This window comes from Homo sapiens, chromosome 7 (assembly GCF_000001405.40).
Source record: "Homo sapiens chromosome 7, GRCh38.p14 Primary Assembly".
Classification (NCBI taxonomy): Eukaryota; Metazoa; Chordata; class Mammalia; order Primates; family Hominidae; genus Homo; species Homo sapiens.
The window spans coordinates 100,109,274-100,129,994 of NC_000007.14; the positions used below are offsets into that span (position 1 = coordinate 100,109,274).

At 53.2% G+C, this 20,721-nt stretch overlaps 3 protein-coding genes across 21 annotated transcripts in view, besides 8 other annotated features; 2 read left to right on the forward strand and 1 right to left on the reverse strand.

Annotated features, from left to right (window-relative positions):
- Positions 1–17,898, reverse strand: part of TAF6 (TATA-box binding protein associated factor 6) — a 20,102-nt gene extending 2,204 nt beyond the window's left edge. Inside the window, exons 1-13 of one of the 18 annotated variants that reach the window (NM_001365003.1) lie at positions 9,931–10,085; positions 9,245–9,376; positions 4,811–4,995; positions 4,595–4,681; positions 4,343–4,496; positions 4,076–4,132; positions 3,525–3,644; positions 2,835–2,980; positions 2,649–2,726; positions 2,455–2,556; positions 1,866–2,048; positions 927–1,001; positions 675–800 (exon numbers count right to left, since the gene is read on the reverse strand). In NM_001365003.1, the coding sequence (NP_001351932.1) occupies positions 675–800; positions 927–1,001; positions 1,866–2,048; positions 2,455–2,556; positions 2,649–2,726; positions 2,835–2,980; positions 3,525–3,644; positions 4,076–4,132; positions 4,343–4,496; positions 4,595–4,681; positions 4,811–4,936 (1,254 nt within the window). In that variant the 5' untranslated portion in view covers positions 4,937–4,995; positions 9,245–9,376; positions 9,931–10,085. Of the gene's footprint in view, positions 1–674; positions 801–926; positions 1,002–1,865; positions 2,049–2,454; positions 2,557–2,648; positions 2,727–2,834; positions 2,981–3,524; positions 3,645–4,075; positions 4,133–4,342; positions 4,497–4,594; positions 4,682–4,780; positions 4,996–6,572; positions 7,026–7,240; positions 7,742–9,122; positions 9,377–9,606; positions 10,086–10,421; positions 10,586–17,733 lie in introns of those variants that run through there. The other 17 variants (NM_001365004.1, NM_001364998.1, NM_001364999.1 and 14 more) reach the window with 17 other exon arrangements.
- Positions 1,353–1,580: a silencer, noted in NCBI's record as "fragment chr7:99708249-99708476 (GRCh37/hg19 assembly coordinates)". NCBI's record gives its function as "represses an EF-1alpha promoter that drives an FKBP-Casp9 reporter gene in an ReSE screen in phorbol 12-myristate 13-acetate-treated (for megakaryocytic differentiation) K562 erythroleukemia cells {active_cell/tissue: K562(+PMA)}" and the evidence as "EXISTENCE:reporter gene assay evidence [ECO:0000049][PMID:32094911]".
- Positions 10,038–10,187: an enhancer, noted in NCBI's record as "active region_26337". NCBI's record gives its function as "activates an Ori minimal core promoter by ATAC-STARR-seq in GM12878 lymphoblastoid cells {active_cell/tissue: GM12878}" and the evidence as "EXISTENCE:reporter gene assay evidence [ECO:0000049][PMID:35858748]".
- Positions 10,361–16,235, forward strand: CNPY4 (canopy FGF signaling regulator 4). The gene is made up of 6 exons (NM_152755.2): positions 10,361–10,589; positions 12,986–13,112; positions 13,208–13,304; positions 13,511–13,633; positions 15,241–15,358; positions 15,452–16,235. The coding sequence occupies exons 1-6, from the start codon at positions 10,472–10,474 to the stop codon at positions 15,613–15,615; spliced, it is 747 nt and encodes a 248-aa protein (NP_689968.1). The 5' UTR covers positions 10,361–10,471; the 3' UTR covers positions 15,616–16,235.
- Positions 10,398–10,617: an enhancer, noted in NCBI's record as "active region_26338". NCBI's record gives its function as "activates an Ori minimal core promoter by ATAC-STARR-seq in GM12878 lymphoblastoid cells {active_cell/tissue: GM12878}" and the evidence as "EXISTENCE:reporter gene assay evidence [ECO:0000049][PMID:35858748]".
- Positions 10,988–11,057: an enhancer, noted in NCBI's record as "active region_26339". NCBI's record gives its function as "activates an Ori minimal core promoter by ATAC-STARR-seq in GM12878 lymphoblastoid cells {active_cell/tissue: GM12878}" and the evidence as "EXISTENCE:reporter gene assay evidence [ECO:0000049][PMID:35858748]".
- Positions 16,264–16,933: an enhancer, noted in NCBI's record as "H3K4me1 hESC enhancer chr7:99723160-99723829 (GRCh37/hg19 assembly coordinates)". NCBI's record gives its function as "activates a minimal SCP1, AML or CMV promoter by ChIP-STARR-seq in primed H9 embryonic stem cells {active_cell/tissue: H9 hESC(primed)}" and the evidence as "EXISTENCE:reporter gene assay evidence [ECO:0000049][PMID:30033119]".
- Positions 17,644–17,713: an enhancer, noted in NCBI's record as "active region_26340". NCBI's record gives its function as "activates an Ori minimal core promoter by ATAC-STARR-seq in GM12878 lymphoblastoid cells {active_cell/tissue: GM12878}" and the evidence as "EXISTENCE:reporter gene assay evidence [ECO:0000049][PMID:35858748]".
- On the forward strand, positions 17,694–19,222 carry MBLAC1 (metallo-beta-lactamase domain containing 1). 2 transcript variants are annotated; one of them, XM_005250250.4, is made up of 2 exons: positions 17,694–17,860; positions 18,095–19,222. In XM_005250250.4, exon 2 carries the CDS (start codon positions 18,123–18,125, stop codon positions 18,921–18,923), a length of 801 nt encoding a protein of 266 aa, XP_005250307.1. In that variant the 5' UTR covers positions 17,694–17,860; positions 18,095–18,122; the 3' UTR covers positions 18,924–19,222. The 2 variants fall into 2 exon arrangements, with proteins under 2 accessions (XP_005250307.1, NP_981942.1); NM_203397.3 differs by having other exon boundaries at positions 17,694–17,791.
- Positions 17,914–18,033: a silencer, noted in NCBI's record as "silent region_18416". NCBI's record gives its function as "represses an Ori minimal core promoter by ATAC-STARR-seq in GM12878 lymphoblastoid cells {active_cell/tissue: GM12878}" and the evidence as "EXISTENCE:reporter gene assay evidence [ECO:0000049][PMID:35858748]".
- Positions 18,124–18,603: a silencer, noted in NCBI's record as "silent region_18417". NCBI's record gives its function as "represses an Ori minimal core promoter by ATAC-STARR-seq in GM12878 lymphoblastoid cells {active_cell/tissue: GM12878}" and the evidence as "EXISTENCE:reporter gene assay evidence [ECO:0000049][PMID:35858748]".

Sequence of the window (20,721 nt, forward strand, 5' to 3'; positions counted from 1 at the left end):
GAGATCGCACCACTGCACTCCAGCCTGGGTTACAGAGTGAGACTCCATCTCAAAAAAAAAAAAAGAAAAGAAAAAGAAAACATGGGCACTAATGTGTGAATGAACTTGCTAAATACTGTGGCAGGATGGTTAATCAAGAGCGCATTTGCCTTGTACAGAGAAGACCACAGAGTAACAGGAGCATTGGGGAAGGATGGTCCAAATGCCACAGGCTGAGCGTGTTAAACCCTTCTTTTTTGGGGGGCGGTGGTCTCCCTCTGTAACCCAGGCTGGAGTGCAGTGGCACGATCATAGCTCTCTGTAGCCTTGAACTCCTGGGTTCAAGCAATCCTCCCACCTCGGCCTCCCTAGTAGCTGGGACCACAGACACGTCACCACTCCCGGCTTTTTGGTTTTTTTTTTTGCAGGTGGGATCTCGCTACGTTGTCCAGGCTGGCCTCATACTCCTAGGCTCCCAGAGTGCTGGGATTACAGGCAGAAGCCATCATGCCCAGCCCCCTTATTTCTTACTCAGTCTAATCTCAGTCTTTCCATCTGTAAAATAGTATCAGACTCTGCAATGTCCTCTGAAAACATGAGGCAAAGATGGGAGTAAGTGAATAAAATATGCCATATGCTTGCTAAACACTGCCTGTGTCTCAGTGGGCAGGTGTGGGGACAGGGGCTTCAGTCACCAGCAGGAGGCTCTGCACATGGTCTGCTCCAATCCGGTCAATGTTGCTCAGCACAGGGCCGTCCAGCACACTGCGGATCCGCTCCCCTTCCTGCTGCAGCCGGGGCAGAATCAGAGTCTTGATAACCTGTTAGAAGGGAAAAGGACAAGCAAAAGCCGGAGGGTCACCAGGGTCTCCCAGATGGGGGTACAGTGCCCTCTATAACCTCATGACTGTGTCCCCTCCCCCATTTCTTCCTCCCAGAGGCCTAACATCGTGTCCCAGCTCAGCCAAGCCTGCGATGGAGCCATAACGAGTCGTCCAGGGCGTCTTCTCGTCCACCCAGCTCTGTAAGGGGAAGGAAATAAACTAAGATGAAGGGGTCTGAAAGGATGATTGACAGGGACCTAAGTCTTTCATAGACACTTTCCTTGTAAATCATTAAGACATTACAATGAGGCCAGACGTGGTGGCTCACACCTGTAATCCCAGCACTTTGGGAGGCCGAGGCAGGCAGATCACCTGAGGTCAGGAGTTCCAGACCACCCTAGTCAACATGGTGAAACTCTGTCTCTACTAAAAATACAAAAATTAGCCAGTTGTGGCCAGGTGCAGTGGCTCATACCCGTAATCCCAGCACTTTGGGAGGCCAAGGCAGGCAGATCACCTGAGGTCGGGAGTTCTAGAGCAGCCTGACCAACATGGAGAAACCCCGTCTCTACTAAAAACACAAAATTAGCTGGGTGTGGCGGCACATGCCTGTAATCCCAGCTACTCGGGAGGCTGAGGCAGGAGAATCATTGGAACCCAGGAGGCGGAGGTTGTGGTAAGCCAAGATTGCACCATTGCACTCCAGCCTGGGCAAGAAGAGCGAAACTCCATCTCAAAAAAACAAAAACAAAAAAATTAGCCAGTTGTGGTGGCAGGTGCCTGTAATCCCAAGTACTCAAGAGTCTGAGGGAGAAGAATCGCTTGAACCCAGGAGGCAGAGGGTGCGGTCAGCAGAGATTGCACCACTGCACTCCAGCCTGGGCAAGAGCGAGACTCCATCTCAAAAAAAAAAAAAAAAGGTATTACAGACAAGCCTCAAGACCCTTAGACCCCCACAAGTTCCAGTCCCTCTTCCCTCTGCCCCCTTGTTTCCAGTGTGACTTCCCCCAACCAGAGGTGGCCAGTGATGAAGCAAATGACGCTCAAGTTTTCCTGGCTCACCTTGGTGAAGGTCTTGGTGATCCGGGACTGGATGTTGTTAGTGGTTGTGCTAAAATGCTTGCAGATCTGGGCCACCAGGCGGGCAGCAAAGTCTCGGAGTGCCCAGTGATTGTCCACATCTGGTCGCAGGCACAACTGTCTGCTCACGATGCAGGTCATCACAGCTGGAATCAGCTCATGGACCTAAGGGAGAAAGGGCGGGACAGCTGATTCTGGTTTTGTTTGTCTGCTTGAGATAAAGTCTTGCTCTGTCACCCAGGCTGGTGTGCAGGGACACAATCATGGCTAACTGCAGCATCAATCTCCCGGGCTCAAGCAATTCTCCCATCTCAGCCTCCCAGGTAGCTGGGGCCACAGGTGTGCACCACCATGCCTGGCTAATTTTGTTTTGGTTAATTTTTTTTGTAGAGATAGCAGTCTCACTACTGTCCTCAGGCTGTCCTCAAACTCCTGAGCTCAAGCAATCCTCCCACTTCGGCCTCCCAAAGTTGCTGGGATTTCAGGTGTGAGCCACTGCTGACCACTGACTTCCTGTTGGTGGCAGCAGGGTCCCTAGTCCCTGGAAGGGAGGATGGGCAGGATCACTCACGTATTTTTCTAGATAGAGCGTGGGGTTGTCCATCAGCGCTTTCACCATACGCATCAGGTAGATGAGTAGGGCCAGGTTGTTCTGAACCACGTTCACACGGACCTGTGGGAGGGAGAAGTGCTGGGCATGGGGCAGGGAGACCCTCACAGGAGCTTCCACTGCCGTCCCTGCACTGTGGAACCTCATGCTCTCACCCCCTCCGAGATAAAGGTACTGAACCGTGGCAGCATCTGATACAGTCCAGGGTCCGTGGCAATGCTTTGCAGGGCTTCCTGTGGGAGGAGGGAAGCCAGTCAGGTGGGGGTGGGATGTGGGGAGCAATTCATAGGGCCCCCAGGAGGAGGCGTCTCAGGGCCAGGGCAAGCTGGTGGGGCCCTCACCGCCCTCTTGGCCTCGCAGGAGCCCACGCAGGCCTCGGTGATCTCCTTGTAGTAGAGCTGCTGCTCCACAGACAACTCGTGGATGCTCCGGGGCTTCAGTCGCAAGGGGGCCCCCTCCAGCAAGGGCGGCGCCTTCTTCTCTTTCCCTGTGTGATTGGAAAGGTGGGTCTGACAAAGAAAGCTCCAGAAGAAACCTCAGTAACAGAAGAACCTTAACCCTCCACTTCCCCTGAGACCCAGGAGACCTGGCTTCTTCTTAGGCTCCCCCATCCTTTCTGGGGCTCTGGCCCTGACCTCAGCCACTTCACCAATGGCCACATGGAGGCCTGGCATGGTGGCTCACACCTGTAATCCCAGCACTTTGGGAGGCCAAGGCGGGCGGATCACATGAGGCTGAGTTTGAAACCAGCCTGGCCAACATAGCAAAACCCTGTCTCTACTAAAAAAAATTACAAAAATTAGCCGGGCGTGGTGGTGGGCACCTGTAAGCCCAGCTACTCAGGAGGCTGAGGCAGGAGAATCGCTTGAACCCTGGAGGTGGAGGTTGCAGTGAGCTGAGATCGTACCACTACACTCCAGCCTGGGTGACAGAGTGAGACTCTGTCTCAAAAACAAAAAAAAAGGAAACAAAACAAACGGCCATGTGGCTTTGGGCAAGAGTCCAGAGAGGCCTAGCCTAGGAGGACTGACCTTTGCCGTCGGCTGTGGTGGCCCCTTGACCTTTGCCCTTCAGGGGTCCGTCTTCCTCCTGGCCTGGCTTGGCTGACTTCAGGGGTTCTGTGGCTTCAGCCTTCTGTTGCTCTTTGGGAGCTGGTGGGAAAGCAGGCACAGCGGGAGGGGTGATGAGCATAGTAGAAAAGTAAAAGGTGGGAGGAGGCCGGATGCGGTGGCTCATGCCTGTAATCCCAGCACTTTGGGAGGCCAAGGCGGGTGGATCACCTCAGGTCAGAAGTTCGAGACCAGCCTGGCCAACATGGTGAAACCTCGTGTCTACTAAAATTACAAAAAATTAGCCGGGCGTGGTGGTGTGTGCTTGTAGTCCCAGCTACTCAGGAGGCTGAGACACAAGAATCGCGTGAACCCAGGAGGCACAGGTTTGCAGTGAGCCAAGATTGAGCCACTGCACTCCAGCACTCCTGCACTCCAGCACAGGCAACAGAGTGAGACTCTGTCTCAAAAAAAAAAGGTGGAAGGAAGGGGAAAGGGACCCAGAGACCCAGAGGGTGGGGCATGGAGGTTACCTGGGGGCGGGTTCTCGGGGATAGCTGGCTGGCAGCCCTCGATGCTCAGCCAATGAGCTGCAAGGAAGGCAGGTGTCAAGGTGAATTGCCACGCATGGACATTGGGGAGTTGCCCCATGCTATGGAAGCGTGTTTCCACTCCTGCTCCCCTTGCAACTCACCAGGGATCTCACACTGAGCTTTTCTTCTATTGTGAGGCTCCTCACACCTACACACATCTGTCCTCCTTTCCCTCCTCCCTGCCACCCTGCTCTCCCCTCCCCCAACCTTTGAGGCAGACGTCCAGGGGCACCCGGGGCAGAGGGGTATTGATGATGTCGCTCAGATCAACCTCCTTCTCCTCATAGAAGTAAAGCTCCCGGCCCCCACCAGAGGCGAAGCGGAAAGGAATGAACTCCTGGGCGTGGAAGCCATAGAGTGGCTGTGGCAGGAGAGAGGGGCATGGGTAAGAAGGGAGCCGGAGGAGACCTGGCTGAAGGATGGCGTCTCACCCCCCCCCCGCCTGTCTCCCCAAATCACCTCGACATTCTTTAGCTTCAAGGCGTAGTCAATGTCACTGGTGGTGAGCTTCTGCCGCTTCCCCATGTGCATGAACTTCAAGGCATCCTGGGGTCGGTGACAGAACAGACATCAGCCCAAAATCCTAAGGACGGGGCCCTGGGTGACATGGACCCAATGTAGAGCTGGACAGAAGGGCCGGGTCACCTGTGCGATCTCTTTGATGCGGTAGCTGACCTCATCCGTTAGCAGCTGGCAGGTCTCCTCCTGAATCTGGGCGATGCCCATGGATTCAGCCACCACCTTCATGGACTCCGAGGGCAGCACAGTGTTGCTAAGCTTCAGCTTCTTCTCCTCAGCCATTCTGGAGTCCCTCTTCTCCTCCCTGGAAGGATGAAGCCCCCGGTGGAGAGACGGAGACCCTGGCAGAGGAACGGGGCAGGCAGAAGAAAAAGAAACGTGAGACACAGGGAGAGGGCCAACAAAGGGAGGACAGTGGAGACAGGGGAGGAACTCCGAGTGTCTTATGTCCATCCCCACGTGAGTCAGCCCTGAGGTGTAACAGAGAAAGATACAAATCTGGGCTGGGGCCAGGTTCAGTGGCTCACGCCTGTAATCCCACCAGCACTTTGGGAGGACGAGGCGGGCGGATCACTTGAGGTCAGGAATTCGAGACCAGCCTGGCCAACATGGAGAAACCCCATCTCTACTAAAAATACAAAAATTAGCAGGGCGTGGTAGTGCACACCTGTAATCCCAGCTACTAGGGAGACTAAGGCACGAGAATCACTTGAAACCAGAGGGCAGAGGTTGCAGTGAGCCGAGATCACGCCACTGCACTCCAGCCAGGGTGACTCCGTCTCAGGAAAAAAAAAAAAAAAATCTGGACTGGGCCTAGTGGCTCATGCCTGTAATTCCAACACTCTGGGAGCCCAAGGTAGGAGGATCGCTTGAGCCCAGCAGTTCACGACCAGCCTGGACAACACAGTGAGACCCCATCTGTACAAAAAATACAAAAATTAGCTGGGTATGCAGGCACAGGGCTGTTGTTCTAGCTACTCAGGAGGCAGAGGTGGGAAAACTGATAGAGCCCAGGAGCTCCTAGGCTCAAGCAATCCTCACACCTCAGCCTCCCAAGTAGCTGGGACTATAGGTGTGTACCACTACACACAGCCAATTTTTTGCAGGGGCAGGGGCAGAGACAGAGTCTCACTATGTTGTCCAGGCTGGTCTTGAACTGCTGGGCTCACGCAGTCCTCCTGCTTCGGCCTCCCAAAGTGTTGGAATTACAGGCCTGAGCCACCAGGCCCAGCCCAGATTTTTATCTTTTTCTGTTACACCTCAGGGCTTCAATCCCACCACTTTGAAGTTTTGGGCTCAAGCAATCCTCCAGCGTTGGCCTCTCAAAGTGTTGGAATTAAAGGCGTGAGCCGAAGTGTCTGGCCCAGGCTCAGCTTTCCTTATCTTCATAGCAATGCCATCCATCCAGACACTTGTTCTTTATCTGAGCCTTCACATCAAATCCACCAGGTAGGCCAGGTGCGGTGGCTCACGTCTGTAATTCCAGCAATTTGGGAGGCCAAGGTGGGTGGATCACTTCAGGTCAGGAGTTCGAGACCAGCCTGAGCAACATGGTAAAACCCTTTCTCTACTAAAAATACAAAAATTAGCTGGGCATGGTGGCGCGTGCCTGTAATCCCAGCTACTTGGGAGGCTGAGGCAGGAGAATCACTTGAGCCTCGGCAGTAGAGTTTGCAGTGAGTTGAGATTGCGCCATTGCACTCCAGCCTCAGTGACAGATGGACTCTGTCTCAAAAAAAAAAAAAAGGTAAAAAAATAAATCCGGTCGGGCGCGTTGGCTCACACCTGTAATCCCAGCACTTTGGGAGGCCGAGGCGGACGGATCACCAGGTCAAGAGATGGAGACCATCCTGGCCAACATGGTGAAATCCCATCTCTACTAAAAATACAAAAACTAGCTTGGCGTGGTGGCACGCACCTGTAGTCCCAGCTACTCGGGAGGCTGAGGCAAGAGAATCACTTGAACCTGGGAAGTGGAGGTTGCAGTGAGCCAAGATCGTGCCACTGGACTCCAGCCTGGCGACAGAGCGAGACTCTGTCTCAAAAATCAATCAATCCACCAGGTAGTCCAACCTGACTCCTCTGCTCCCACTGCTTGGCCCAGGTCACCATCATCTATCCACTGGGTAACTCCAAAAACCTCCTAACAATGTCAACCGGAGTCTACCCTTGCCTTTCTCTACATCTATTCCTAACGTTGCAGCCAAAATGCTTCTGTCAAACTGTAAAGCAGATTGTCATTTCTTTGCTCAAACCCTCATAATGGCTCTCCACTTGCCATAAAGTAAAACCTGAAATCCTTATAATGGGCAGGTGCAGTGGCTCAGCTCATGCCTGTAATCTGTGCACTTTGGGAGGGTGAGGTGGGAAGACTGCTTGGGCTTAGGAATTCCTGACCACCCTGGGCAACATAGCAAAACCCCATCTCAGGCCAGGCACAGTGGCTCACGCCTGTAATCCTAGCACTTTGGGAGACGAAGGTGGGCGGATCACTTGAGGGCAGGAGTTCAAGACCAGCCTGGCCAACATGGTGAAACCCTATCTCTACTAAAAATAAAAAAATTAGATGGGCATGGTGGCGGGCACCTGTAATCACAGCTACTCGGGAGGCTGAGGCAGAAGAATCACTCGAACCCGGGAGGCGGAGGTTGCAGTGAGCAAAGATCTGTGTCATTGCACTCCAGCCTGGGCAACAAAGCAAGACTTCTTCTCAAAAACAACAACAACAACAACAAAAAAAACAGACGAAATCCTTATAATGTCCTACAAAGCCCTTCAAAATTACCTTCTCCCCATTATATCTCTGAACGCCCTTCCTTCTTCCACTTTGATCCAGACACATACATTCCTTCTGGCTGCTCCTTAAACTTGCCAGGTATGTACTTGCTTAATAGCCTTTGCTGCATTCCCTCTGCCTGGAATGTTCTTCCCAAATATCTAATTGGCTGCCTACCCTGACCACCCTATTTAACTCTGCACTCTGCCCTCAGAGTGGGGGCAGCCCACTTTTTCTTTTCCATAGCATTTAACATCTTTTGGGCATGGCGCAGTGGCTCACGCCTGTAATCCCAACACTTTGGGAGGCCGAGGTGGGCAGATCACGAGGTCAAGAGATCGAGACCATCCTGGCCAACATGGTTAAACCCCATCTCTACTAAAAATACAAAAATTAGCTGGGCGTGGTGATGTGCACCTGTAGTCCCAGATACTCGGGAGGCTGAGGCAGGAGAATTGCTTGAACCCAGGAGGTGGAGGTTGCAGTGAGTAGAGGTTGTGCCACTGCACTCCAGCCTGGCAACAGAGTGAGACCCCGTCTCCGTCCACCATCTAGACAGGGCTCTTTTTTTTTTTTTTTTTTTTTGAGCTAGAGTTTCACTCTTGTTGTCCAGGCTGGAGAGCAATGGCGCGATCTTGGCTCACTGCAACCTCCGCCTCCCAGATTCAAGCAATTCTCCTGTCTCAGCCTCCTGCGTAGCTGGGATTACAGGCATGCGCCACCACACCTGGCTAATTTTTGTATTTTTAGTAGAGATGGGGTTTCACCATGTTGCTCAGGCTGGTCTTGAACTCCTGACCTCAGGTGTTCCACCCACCCTGGCCTCCCAAAGTGCTGGGATTACAGGCGTGAGCCACTGTGCCCGGCCGACAGAGCTCTTTATTATGTTCACTGATGTATTCCAGGAGCCCAGCCTGGGACATCATAAATATTTGTGAAGTAAATGAATTAGTTGTAAGGCTTAGAGATATTGGTGCTCAGTAAATACTTGGTATCACTATTATTAATAGGTCATAGGCCCAAGCTTTGAGCCTACACTGTAGTTAAAAGCAAACTGGGCCGGCCGTGGTGGCTCACGCCTGTAATCCCAGCACTTTGGGAGGCCGAGGCGGGCGGATCACTAGGTCAGGAGATTGAGACCATCCTGGCTAACAAGGTGAAACCTCGTCTCTACTAAAAAATAGAAAAAATTAGCCAGGCATGGTGGCAGGCACCTATAGTCCCTGCTACTCGGGAGGCTGCTGAGGCAGGAGAATGGCGTGAGCCCGGGAGGCGGAGCTTGCAGTGAGCCGAGATCGCACCACTGCACTCCAGCCTGGGCAACAGAGCCAGACTCTGTCTCAAAAAAAAAAAAAAAACAAAAAAAGCAAAGTGGAGCCAGGTGCAGTGGCTCACGCCTGTAATTTGGGAGGCCAAGGCGGGAAGATCACCTGAGGTTAGGAGTTCGAGACCACCCTGGCCAACATGGTGAAACCCTGTCTTTTTGTAAAAACACAAAAATTAACCAGACATGGTGGCGGGCGCCTGTAGTCCCAGCTATCTGGGAGGCTGAGGTGGGAGAACCGCTTGAACCAGGAAGCGGAGGTTGCAGTGAACCGAGATCGTGCCACTGCACTCCAGCCTGGGCGATAGAGAGAGACTCCATCTCAAAAAAAAAAAAAAAGCAAATTGGAGCCAAGAGAGGTAACTCACCCCAGTAATCCCAGCACTTTGGAAGGCAGAGGTGGGGGGATTGTTTGAGGCCAGGAGTTTGAGACAGCCTGGTCAACATAGTGAGACCCCCATTTCTGCAAAAATTAAAAAATTAGACGGACCTGGTGGTGTGAACCTGTCATCCCAGCTACTTAGGAGGCTGAGGCAGGAGGATCGCTTGAACTGAGGAGTTGGAGGCTGCAGTGAGCCAAGATGGTGCCACTGCACAACAGCCTGGGTAACAGACGGAAACCCTGTCTCAAAAAAAAAACAAAAAAAAATTAAAGTGGCACACTTGCAGTTGGACATTAGGAAGATTAACATATCAATACTGCTTAGGAGTAGTACAGGTAGGGTGGGGCCGTGCTGGAAGGATGGGAAGAGGGAGGCCGAAAAACAAATTGGTTCTTTTCAAACCATCCCTGATCTCCTCCCCGACTTTTATAAGTCTTATCTATAGGGAACACAACTATTCGAGACATACTCTGTGCCTGGCGCCGGGTTTACAAGAGGGGGTCGTGTCCCACTTCCCTGGCGAACTCCTACGAATCCTTCAATACCCGGCGGTACCCTCTGCCAGTAAAGGCTCATAAAACACGCTACAGTCACAGGATCTCCTCAGATCAGTGGAGGCGGCAGGAAGGCGTCCCAGGGAAGGGTTAACTTAAGCGAGATCCCAGCAGAGAAGCAGGTCGAAGATCCCCGGGCAGCGCGAAAGGAGGTTCAGAGAGCCCACCCCATCTCCTGCAACATCTCTCCAATGCAGGCACACACACGGGGTCCCCACGAGCACAGACACACAACCAACCGTCCTCTTTCCAGTCCCCACAAGGGACCTTCAAAGGGTCTCCTCCGGGGTACCACTCAGACCCGCCCCCGCCACCCGAGCGCGGGGAGCAGGAAAACTCTAGCGGCAGCCGAGACGCTGCTCACCCGGCGCTCGGCGCCATCTTGGCCCCGCCCCCTCGTGGGAGCAGGTCCTGGCAGAGCCTAAGAGCAAGTCACTGCCCCTTCCCCGTACCAGAATAAGTCCTCTAGGCTCGCAGAATGAAATTATATTTTAAAAGTTTGTTTCTACATCTATATATAAGGAGCACTCCCTCTTGGTGTAATTACTGCAATTTATTCCTTCACTACCCGGCTGCCAGGACCTTCAAGAGGCGCCACAAAACGGAGGCAGGGAAACCCGTAGCAACGAGGCCCCACCCTTGTTGGGCTGATCCTGCGCATGCGCCGACCTTCCTCGGCTGGATTTAAGGTTGCCGCTAGCCGCCTGGGAATTTAAGGGACCCACACTACCTTCCCGAAGTTGAAGGCAAGCGGTGATTGTTTGTAGACGGCGCTTTGTCATGGGACCTGTGCGGTTGGGAATATTGCTTTTCCTTTTTTTGGCCGTGCACGAGGCTTGGGCTGGGATGTTGAAGGAGGAGGACGATGACACAGAACGCTTGCCCAGCAAATGCGAAGGTATTTGAAGGGGGTAGCCCCTATAGGCATCGCCCGGCCACACCTCCTTCTTCTAGGCCGGACATCCTAGCCTGTATTGGGTGGGTCACCCGACCTCCTTGAAGGCTTGAGGGAGGTTCTGGTGGAGCTTGGCTGAATTTGGATGGGGTCAAGGAAGCGAACGTGTAGTGCCACCTCAAACTGCATCCAGAGAGAGCCTGCATTTTTTTGGCTGGCTTGGAACCCCCCGCCCGCCAATGGATTGTGGGAATTGTAGTTCAGGGACCATCGGCCCGGGACTGCCAACTTTTAGAGCATCTTCAGTGAGTGTTTACCTCATGTCACCAGACCTTAATCTGCAGAGGCTGCAGGAGCCGGGTGTGAGGCTCAGGCCTTGTGGACATCCGCTGCCCTACCCTAGCATAGACGCTCCCAAATTACAGGCCCCACACCCCGCTGAGGGGGTTTGAGGGTGAGTAATTCAGCCTTTGAAGCTCATAAACAAAAGGAAGCCACACAACTAGGAGAGTGTCCCCATCCGGTGAGACTTTGCAGACGGTGCGTACTATATGGATTTTTCAGCAAGCAGCGCCTTCCATAGCTGCACTAGCGTGGGGCCCAGTTGAGAAAGGGGGCTGGCCCTGATGCCCTAGTTTGCTGCCCTCCTGACTTTACGTTTCTTCCCTGGATTCCTTTTCTCTTCGCTTCACCCCCTCAACTGTATTCCAGTATCATGAAAGGCAGTCATGACAGTCTCATGACTTGGTCCTCATCTCTGTCTCCTTTCACCTCCGTGTGCCGCTCTTCTCCCCTGACCTGTCAATCTTTTTAAACAGACTTAATCACCTAATTGTATCAGTCCTTGCTTTAACACCTCTGCAGGCCTTCTATCAGAATACAGCCAACGGGCCTGGGCACAGTGGCTCACATCTGTAATCCCAGCACTTTGGAAGGCCAAGGTGGGAGGATCACTTGAGCCCATGAGTTCAGGCCCAGCTTCACCACAGCTTGTCATCCTTGGTTTATCTGTCCCAACTACACTGACAGAGACCTGTAGATAGAGATAATAGGTCTTATTGCTGTCTATATTGTTAGTATGCATACAGAAGGAGCTCAATAAATAACTGCAGGATAACAGTGAATACTTATACAGTGCTCACTATGTGCCAGCCTTTATATATGTTGATTTATTTAATCTTCATCACACTCCTATGAGGGACATACTATTATTATCCAATTGTATTAATTTTATATATATATATATATATATATATATTTTTTTTTTTTTTTTTTTTTTTTTTTTTTTTTTCTCTTTTCAGACAGCGTCTCATGCCGTTGCCCAGGCTGGAGTGCAGTGGTGCAATCTCGCTCACTGCAACCTCCGCCTCCCGGGTTCAAGCGATTCTCCTGCCTCAGCCTCCCAAGTAGCTGGGATTACAGGCGCCCGCCACCATGCCCAGCTAATTTTTGTATTTTTAGTAGAGACAAGGTTTCACTATGTTGGCCAGGATGGTCTCAATCTCTTGACCTCGTGATCCACCCACCTCAGCCTCCCAAAGTGTTGGGATTACAGGCATGAGTCACTGTGCTGGCCTATTTATTTTTAATGTATTTTACTTTTTTTAAGATGGAGTCTCCCTTTGTTGCCTGGGCTGGGGTGCAGTGGTGGGATCTCAGCTCACTGCAACCTCCACCTCCTGGGTTCGAGTGATTCTCCTGCCTCAGCTTCCCGAGTAGCTATTACAGGTGCGCACCACCACACCTGGCTAGTTTTTGTATTTTTAATAGAGATGGGGTTTCACCATGTGGGCCAGGCTGGTCTTGAACTCCTCAAGTGATCTGCCCGCCTCAGCCTCCCAAAGTGCTGGGATTACAGGTGTGAGCCACCACTCCTGGCCTATTATCCCATTATAAAGATGAAGAAACCGGCCGGGCGTGGTGGCTCACGCCTGTAATCCCAGTACTTTGGGAGGCCAAGGCGGGCGGATCACAAGGTCAGCTGATCGAGACCATCCTGGCTAACACGGTGAAACCCTGTCTCTACTAAAAATACAAAAAATTAGCCGGGCGTGGTGGTGGGTGCCTGTAGTCCCAGCTACTCGGGAGACTGAGGCAGGAGAATGGCGTGAACCCAGGAGGCGGAGCTGGCAGTGAGCCGAGACTGCGCCACTGCACTACAGCCTGGGCGACAGAGCGAGAGTCCGTCTGAAAAAAAAAAAAAAAAAGATGAAGAAACCGAGGCACAGCAAGCAGGAAGATTGCCACACAGCTGCTAAATGGCTGAGCCAGGATTCCAACCCAGCCAGTCTGGCTCCATAGTCTGCACTTGTATGCTCTGCTGCCTCAGGTCATCTGCAGAATGAATGGCTGGTGTGTTTGTCTTTTACCTCCCCCCGGACGTTTCTCCTCCCCACCAGTGTGTAAGCTGCTGAGCACAGAGCTACAGGCGGAACTGAGTCGCACCGGTCGATCTCGAGAGGTGCTGGAGCTGGGGCAGGTGCTGGATACAGGCAAGAGGAAGAGACACGTGCCTTACAGCGTTTCGTGAGTCCTTCGTGCTCCTCCCCTTTCCAACCCCCAACGGAGCCCTGGGAGTTCCTACAGCATCCAGGGAATCTTTGTTTCCTCTCTTTCCACAGAGAGACAAGGCTGGAAGAGGCCTTAGAGAATTTATGTGAGCGGATCCTGGACTATAGTGTTCACGCTGAGCGCAAGGGCTCACTGAGATATGCCAAGGTCAGACCCTTCCCCAGGGCAGGACCCCACTTCTCAGATACAAAGATCTGTATCCCCTGAGGCCCTCCAGAGGTTATCTGCCCATCATCTCACCATCATGGAACTCACCCTTGAATCTCCAGTAGTTGACAAAACTGAAATGGCAGAAAGGGGAAGGGAGGGGTGGGGTGGTGAGCTGGGCTGATGCCAAATTCTTAATCTCTCAGGGTCAGAGTCAGACCATGGCAACACTGAAAGGCCTAGTGCAGAAGGGGGTGAAGGTGGATCTGGGGATCCCTCTGGAGCTTTGGGATGAGCCCAGCGTGGAGGTCACATACCTCAAGAAGCAGGTAGGATAAGACACTGCACCATCCAGGGAGGTGAGAAGGGAACCTGAGAGGGGAGCTAGGTTCTAGGGTTTGACTATAGGGGATGTCTACCCCTAAGCATGGGGAAGGGGCCAGAGTGAGGACTGTGCCATTGATTAAAGTGGGTCCAGGAGCGGTGGGGTGCGGTGGCTCACACCTGTAATCCCAGCAATTTGGGAGGCTGAGGCAGGTGGATCACCTGAGGTCATAAGTTCGAGACCAGCCTGGCCAACAAGGCAAAACCCCGTCTTTAATAAAAACACAAAAGTTAGCTGGGCGTGGTGGTGCACGCCTGTGATCCCAGCTACTTGGGAGGCTGAGGCAAGAGAATTGCTTGAATCCAGGAGGTGGAGGTTGCCATGAGCCAAGATCGCACCATTGCACTCCAGCCAGGGCGACAGAGCAAGACTCCATCTTAAAAAAAAAAACAAAAACAAAAACAAAAAAAAAGAAATCATAATGAGCCGGGTGGAGTGGCTCACAACTGTAATGCTAGCACTTAGTGAGTCTGAGGGAGAAGGACTGTTTGAGACCAGAGTTAGAGACCAGCTTGTGCAACATAAGAGACCCCCTTCTCTACAAATAATAATAATTTTAAAGAATTTTTTTTTTCAAGACGGAGTTTCACTCTTATTGCCCAGGCTGGAGTGCACCGGCACCATCTCGGCTCACCGCGACCTCCGCCTCCCGGGTTCAAGCCATTCTCCTGCTTCAGCCTCCCGAGTAGCTGGGATTACAGGCCCCTGCCACCACGCCCAGCTAATTTTTTGTAATTTTAGTAGAGACGGGGTTTCATCATGTTGGCCAGGCTGGTCGAACTCCTGACCTCAGGTGATCCACCCGCCTTGGCCTCCCAAAGTGCTGGGATTACAGGCATGAGCCATTGGGCCCTGCCTTAAGGAAAATTTTTAAAAAGTAATAATGGGCCAGGTGCGATGGCTCACGTATGTAATCCCAGCACTTTGGGAGGGCGAGACAGGCGGATCACGACATCAGGGGTTCAAGACCAGCCGGGCCATCATAGTGAAACCCTGTCTCTACTAAAAATACAAGAATTAGCCGGGCGTGGTGGTGTGGTGGCATGCATCTGTAGTCCCAGCTACTCAGGAAGCTGAGGCAGGAGAATCACTTGAACCCGGGAGGCGGAGGTTGCAGTGAGCTGAGATCCCACCACTGCAGTCCAGCCTGGGTGACAGAGCGAGACTCCATCTCAAAAAAAAAAAAAAGTAACAATGGTTGCTAATGATATCCACCATCACTTATTGAGCACCTACTGTGTCCCAGACTCTGGACCAGATACTTTGCATCTGTAGCCTCATTTTACCCTTAACAGCCTGATGTGGTAGGTGCAATTACCATACATATTTTACAGGCAAGGAGCTGAGACTCAAGAGTTTAATAATCTACTTGGCAGAATAGGTGCTGGTAAATGTTTGTTGAATGAATGAGGATTGCACATCTAGTAGGCCAAACTTAGCTTCCTGGCTACCTGCCTCTCCAAAATCAGTCAGGTTGAGCAGGGAGAGAAGACAGGCGGGATCCCAAATCCCTCCAGAGCAGATACTCTTCTGGCCCTTCTACTTGACCAGTGTGAGACCATGTTGGAGGAGTTTGAAGACATTGTGGGAGACTGGTACTTCCACCATCAGGAGCAGCCCCTACAAAATTTTCTCTGTGAAGGTCATGTGCTCCCAGCTGCTGAAACTGGTAAGCGTAAGGGTTGAACTCCTCTCCTGCCAAGCCATAGCCTCCCCTGCCTCCAGGACTAATATCTAAATTGTTTTCTGTCATCCGATCTAGCATGTCTACAGGAAACTTGGACTGGAAAGGAGATCACAGATGGGGAAGAGAAAACAGAAGGGGAGGAAGAGCAGGAGGAGGAGGAGGAAGAGGAGGAAGAGGAAGGGGGAGACAAGATGACCAAGACAGGAAGCCACCCCAAACTTGACCGAGAAGATCTTTGACCCTTGCCTTTGAGCCCCCAGGAGGGGAAGGGATCATGGAGAGCCCTCTAAAGCCTGCACTCTCCCTGCTCCACAGCTTTCAGGGTGTGTTTATGAGTGACTCCACCCAAGCTTGTAGCTGTTCTCTCCCATCTAACCTCAGGCAAGATCCTGGTGAAACAGCATGACATGGCTTCTGGGGTGGAGGGTGGGGGTGGAGGTCCTGCTCCTAGAGATGAACTCTATCCAGCCCCTTAATTGGCAGGTGTATGTGCTGACAGTACTGAAAGCTTTCCTCTTTAACTGATCCCACCCCCACCCAAAAGTCAGCAGTGGCACTGGAGCTGTGGGCTTTGGGGAAGTCACTTAGCTCCTTAAGGTCTGTTTTTAGACCCTTCCAAGGAAGAGGCCAGAACGGACATTCTCTGCGATCTATATACATTGCCTGTATCCAGGAGGCTACACACCAGCAAACCGTGAAGGAGAATGGGACACTGGGTCATGGCCTGGAGTTGCTGATAATTTAGGTGGGATAGATACTTGGTCTACTTAAGCTCAATGTAACCCAGAGCCCACCATATAGTTTTATAGGTGCTCAATTTTCTATATCGCTATTAAACTTTTTTCTTTTTTTCTAAAAACTAGCTGGGCCCAAAGTTTCAAACAACAGCCGGGCACACATAGCTAGCTGGTCGATGAGGCAGCACCCAGAATGGCCGCTGTCTTGTTAAGCTCAAGCTCCAGCCTGAGCAACATAGTGAAACCCCAATTCTACACACACACACACACACAAAGAAGACTGCAGGGCTGGTGGTGCAGCGCCTGTAGTCCCAGTTACTGCAGAGGTGGAGATGGGAGGATCACTTGAGTCCAAAAGGTCAAGACCAGCCTGGAGGCTGGGCGCAGTGACTCACACCTGTAATCCTAGCACTTTGGGAGGCCGAGGCAGGCGGATCACCTGAGTGTAGGAGTTCGAGAGCAGCCTGGCCAACATGGAGAAACCTCGTCTCTACCAAAAATACAAAAATTAGCCGGGCGGCTGGGCGCGGTGACTCACGCCTGTAATCCCAGCACTTTGGGAGGCCAAGGCGGGTGGATAACAAGATTAGGAGATCGAGACCATCCTGGCTAATACGGTGAAAGCCCGTCTCTACTAAAAATACAAAAAATTAGCCGGGTGTGGTGGCAGGCGCCTGCAGTCCCAGCTACTCGGGAGGCTGAGGCAGAAGAATGGCGGGAACCCGGGAGGCGGAGCTGGCAGTGAGCCAAGATCGTGCCACTGCACTCCAGCCTGGGTGATAGAGCGAGACTCCGTCTCAAAAAAAAAAGCCACGCATGGTGGTGGGCGCCTGTAATCCCAGTTACTCGGGAGGCTGAGACAGGAGAATCGCTTGAACCCAGGAGGCGGAGGTTGCAGTGAGCTGAGATCACGCCACTGCACTCTAGCCTGGGCGACAGAACAAGACTCCGTCTCAAAAAAAACCAAAAAAAATTTAGAGGGGCGTGCACGCCTGTATTCCCAGCACTCCAGGAGGCTGAAGCAGGAGGATCGCTAGAACCAGGGGTTCAAGACTGGGGCGAGCTATGATGGTGCCCCTGCACTCTAGCCTGGGCGACAGGGCGAGACTGTCTCAAAAGAAAAAAAGACCAGGCGCGGTGGCTCACACCTGTAATCCTAGCACTTCAGGAGACCAAGACTGGAGGATCGCTGGAGCCCAGGAGTTCCAGACCAGTCCTGGCAACAGAACTAGACCGTGTCTCCAAAAAAAAAGAGAAAGAAAAAATAGAAACCTTAGCTGGGCTTGGTGGTGCGCATCTGTGGTCCCAGATACTCGGGACGCTGAGGCGGGAGGATCACATGAGCCCAGGAGGTTGAGGCTGCAGTGAGGTATGATCGCGCCACTGCACTCCTGCCTGGGCAACTGAGCATGAACCCTCCTCAAAGCTAATGGCGCTTCAAAATTCTGCAGTGCAAAGAAGTTGCTGGGGTTGCGGAGCGGAGAACCGCCAGGAGGCTGGAGCCCAGCCAGGCAGCCTCCTCGGGCACACGGTGAAGGCGCCGGAACTACAGCTACCTCCGCGGCGCCGCTTCGGCCGCCATATCTGGGTACACGGGAACCGCAGAGGACAAACTCTCACCCGCGTTTTCGATTTCTGCGCTTTCTTCGAGTGAGGCAAGACCTAGCAGAGGCCCAAGGTAGAGCGCGGCTAGGATTCGATGGAGGGAAACATAAAGGATAGCCTTTGGAGGGTGACGGGCAAGGACGTACGTACCGCGAACGGAATGGGGCGGGGGCCGAGGACGCCGAGGGAGGGGCGGGCCCAAGTGTGAAGGGAGTCTGGGCGATACCATTTTGGGCAGGGGTTGAGGGTGATACCAACTTAATGGGAGGCGGGTGGCAGAGAACCGAGGCTTAGGGGCAGTGGCGGGGCCGAGCGCGGGTGGGGGATCGCGGAGGGACAGGACGGTCGCCCACTGCTCCATTTCCTTTCTCCCCAGCCCGTCCCTCCCTGCCAGGAGCAGCCTCATGCGGACCGAGCCGCTGTGCGGGGCATCCCCTCTGCTGGTGCCCGGCGACCCCTACTCTGTGGTGGTTCTGCTGCAGGGCTACGCGGAGCCAGAGGGTGTGGGCGATGCCGTGCGCGCCGACGGCTCCGTGACCCTGGTCCTACCCCAGACCCGGGGCCCGGCCTCCAGCCACCGAGAGTCCCCGCGCGGGAGTGGCGGCGCAGAGGCCGCCCTGGAGGAGGCGGCCCGTGGCCCCATCCTGGTGGACACCGGGGGCCCCTGGGCTCGGGAGGCGCTGCTGGGGGCGCTGGCGGGGCAGGGCGTGGCCCCGGGAGACGTGACGCTAGTGGTGGGGACCCACGGGCACTCGGATCACATCGGGAACTTGGGGCTGTTCCCAGGCGCGGCTCTGCTGGTCTCGCACGACTTCTGCCTTCCCGGAGGCCGCTACCTGCCCCACGGGCTGGGTGAGGGGCAGCCCCTGCGCCTGGGCCCGGGGCTCGAGGTGTGGGCCACGCCGGGCCACGGGGGCCAGCGCGACGTGAGCGTGGTGGTGGCCGGCACGGCTCTGGGCACCGTGGTGGTGGCGGGAGATGTGTTTGAGCGAGATGGGGACGAGGATTCGTGGCAGGCACTGAGTGAAGACCCCGCAGCCCAGGAGCGGAGCCGGAAGAGGGTCCTGGTCGTTGCCGACGTGGTCGTACCTGGTCACGGGCCCCCCTTTCGAGTGTTAAGGGAAGCCTCGCAGCCCGAGACGGAGGGTGGAGGGAACAGCCAGCAGGAGCCGGTGGTCGGAGACGAGGAGCCCGCCCTGCACTAATCAGCCTCGAGAGGGACTGCACTCTTGTCAGGGAAGCCCTAACAGCGAAGAGCTGCTGGAGACAGAGTCAGAGCAGTCAAGGGTGGGAGCTTCCAGCCCTTCCAGGAGGCCAGTTTTCTAGTGAAGACAGAGTGCACCTGACACTGCCATCACATCGTCAGTATCACTGCCTGTCTCTGCCACCAAACTAAGATCAAAGGAGGGGCTCAGCTCCCTGTGCATTCTCCCTGGGCCTCAGTAAAATGGGAGAAGGTTCGTGGGAGGGGCCTCCAAAATAAAAATGGAAACTGCATTGAAAATCATAGTGCCCTAGTGTAAATGTGAAGCATTGACAATGATAATCGTGCAAACATGGTAATCTACAACTACAGCAGAGGCATACTTTGGCCAATTGCCCCTTTCTTATAGGATGGAGGTTGCTGAGAGAAGGTACAGGGCATAAAGATGACCCCTTAGTCACCTGACTTATGTATTTGTTCATATTTTTTTGTCACACAGGCTAGAGTGCAGTTGTGCAGTCATAGCTCACTGCAGCCTCCAGCTTAAGCCATCCACCTGCCTCAGCCTCCCAAGTAGCTGGGATGACAGGCAAGTGCCACTATGCCCCACTAATTTTTTTTTTTTTTTGAAACACGGTTTCACTCTGTCCCCACAGGCTGCAATGCAATAGCACAATCTTGTACTGCAGACTGCACTGCAACCTCTGCCTCCTGGGTTCAATTGGTTCTTGTGCCTCAGCCTTCCCAGCAGCTGGGATTACAGGCTCACACTACCATGTCCAGCTAATTTTTATATTTTTAGTAGAGAAAGGGTCTTACCATGTTGGCCACACTGGTCTCAAACTCCTGGCCTCAAGTGATCTGCCCATCTCAGCCTCCCAAAGTGCTGAGGTTACAGGTATGAACCACCATGCCTGGCTATCAGCTAATTTTTTTTTTTCATTTTTTTTCAGAAATGGTCTCACTGTGTTGCCCAGGCTGGTCTTGAACTCCTGACCTAAAAAGATCCTACCTTCTCAGGCCCTCTGCATTTTTTTTTGCTGGGATTACAGGCATGAGCCACTGTGCCCTTCCCCAAGTGTGATGATTTAATATCTGTTTTCTTTCAGCAGCCGGATTGCTCCCATGGGCATGGGATGGGGCCACACCTGCCTGGCTCTCCTATGCTTGGGACCTCCAGCACCTTGGACAACCTCTGGCACAGAGTAGGGCGGGGTGAAACAGCAACAGATGCCTGAAGTGAGATCCTAAGAGCTCACAGAGCAGACCAGTTCTACTTGCTCTAAGCACTTTCTGTACATTATTATTATTATTATTATTGACTGAGTCTTGCTCTGTAACCCAGGCTGGAGTGTAGTGGTGCAATCAAAACTCACTGTGACCTGGAACTCCTGGGCTTAAGTGATCCTTCCACTTCAGCCTTCAGCCTCCCAAACTGCTGGGGTTACAGGCGTGAGCCACCGTGCCCAGCCCCATCCATTAACTTATTTGTTCCTCATCGCAGCTCTGAGCTAAGTACTATTATTATCTTTCTTTCTTTCTTTCCTTTCTCTCTCTCTCTCTGTCTCTTTCTTTCTTTCCACAGAGTCTCACTCTGTTGCCCAGGTTGGAGGAGTGCAGTGGCTCGATCTCGGTCAATGCAACCTCCGCCTCCTGGGTTCAAGCACTTCTCTGCCTCAGCCTTCCGAGTAGCTGGGATTACAGGTGCCTGCCACCGTGCCCAGCTACATTTTTTTTTTTTTTCTGAGACGGAGTTTCACTCTTGTTGCCCAGGCTGGAATACAGTGGCACAGTCTCAG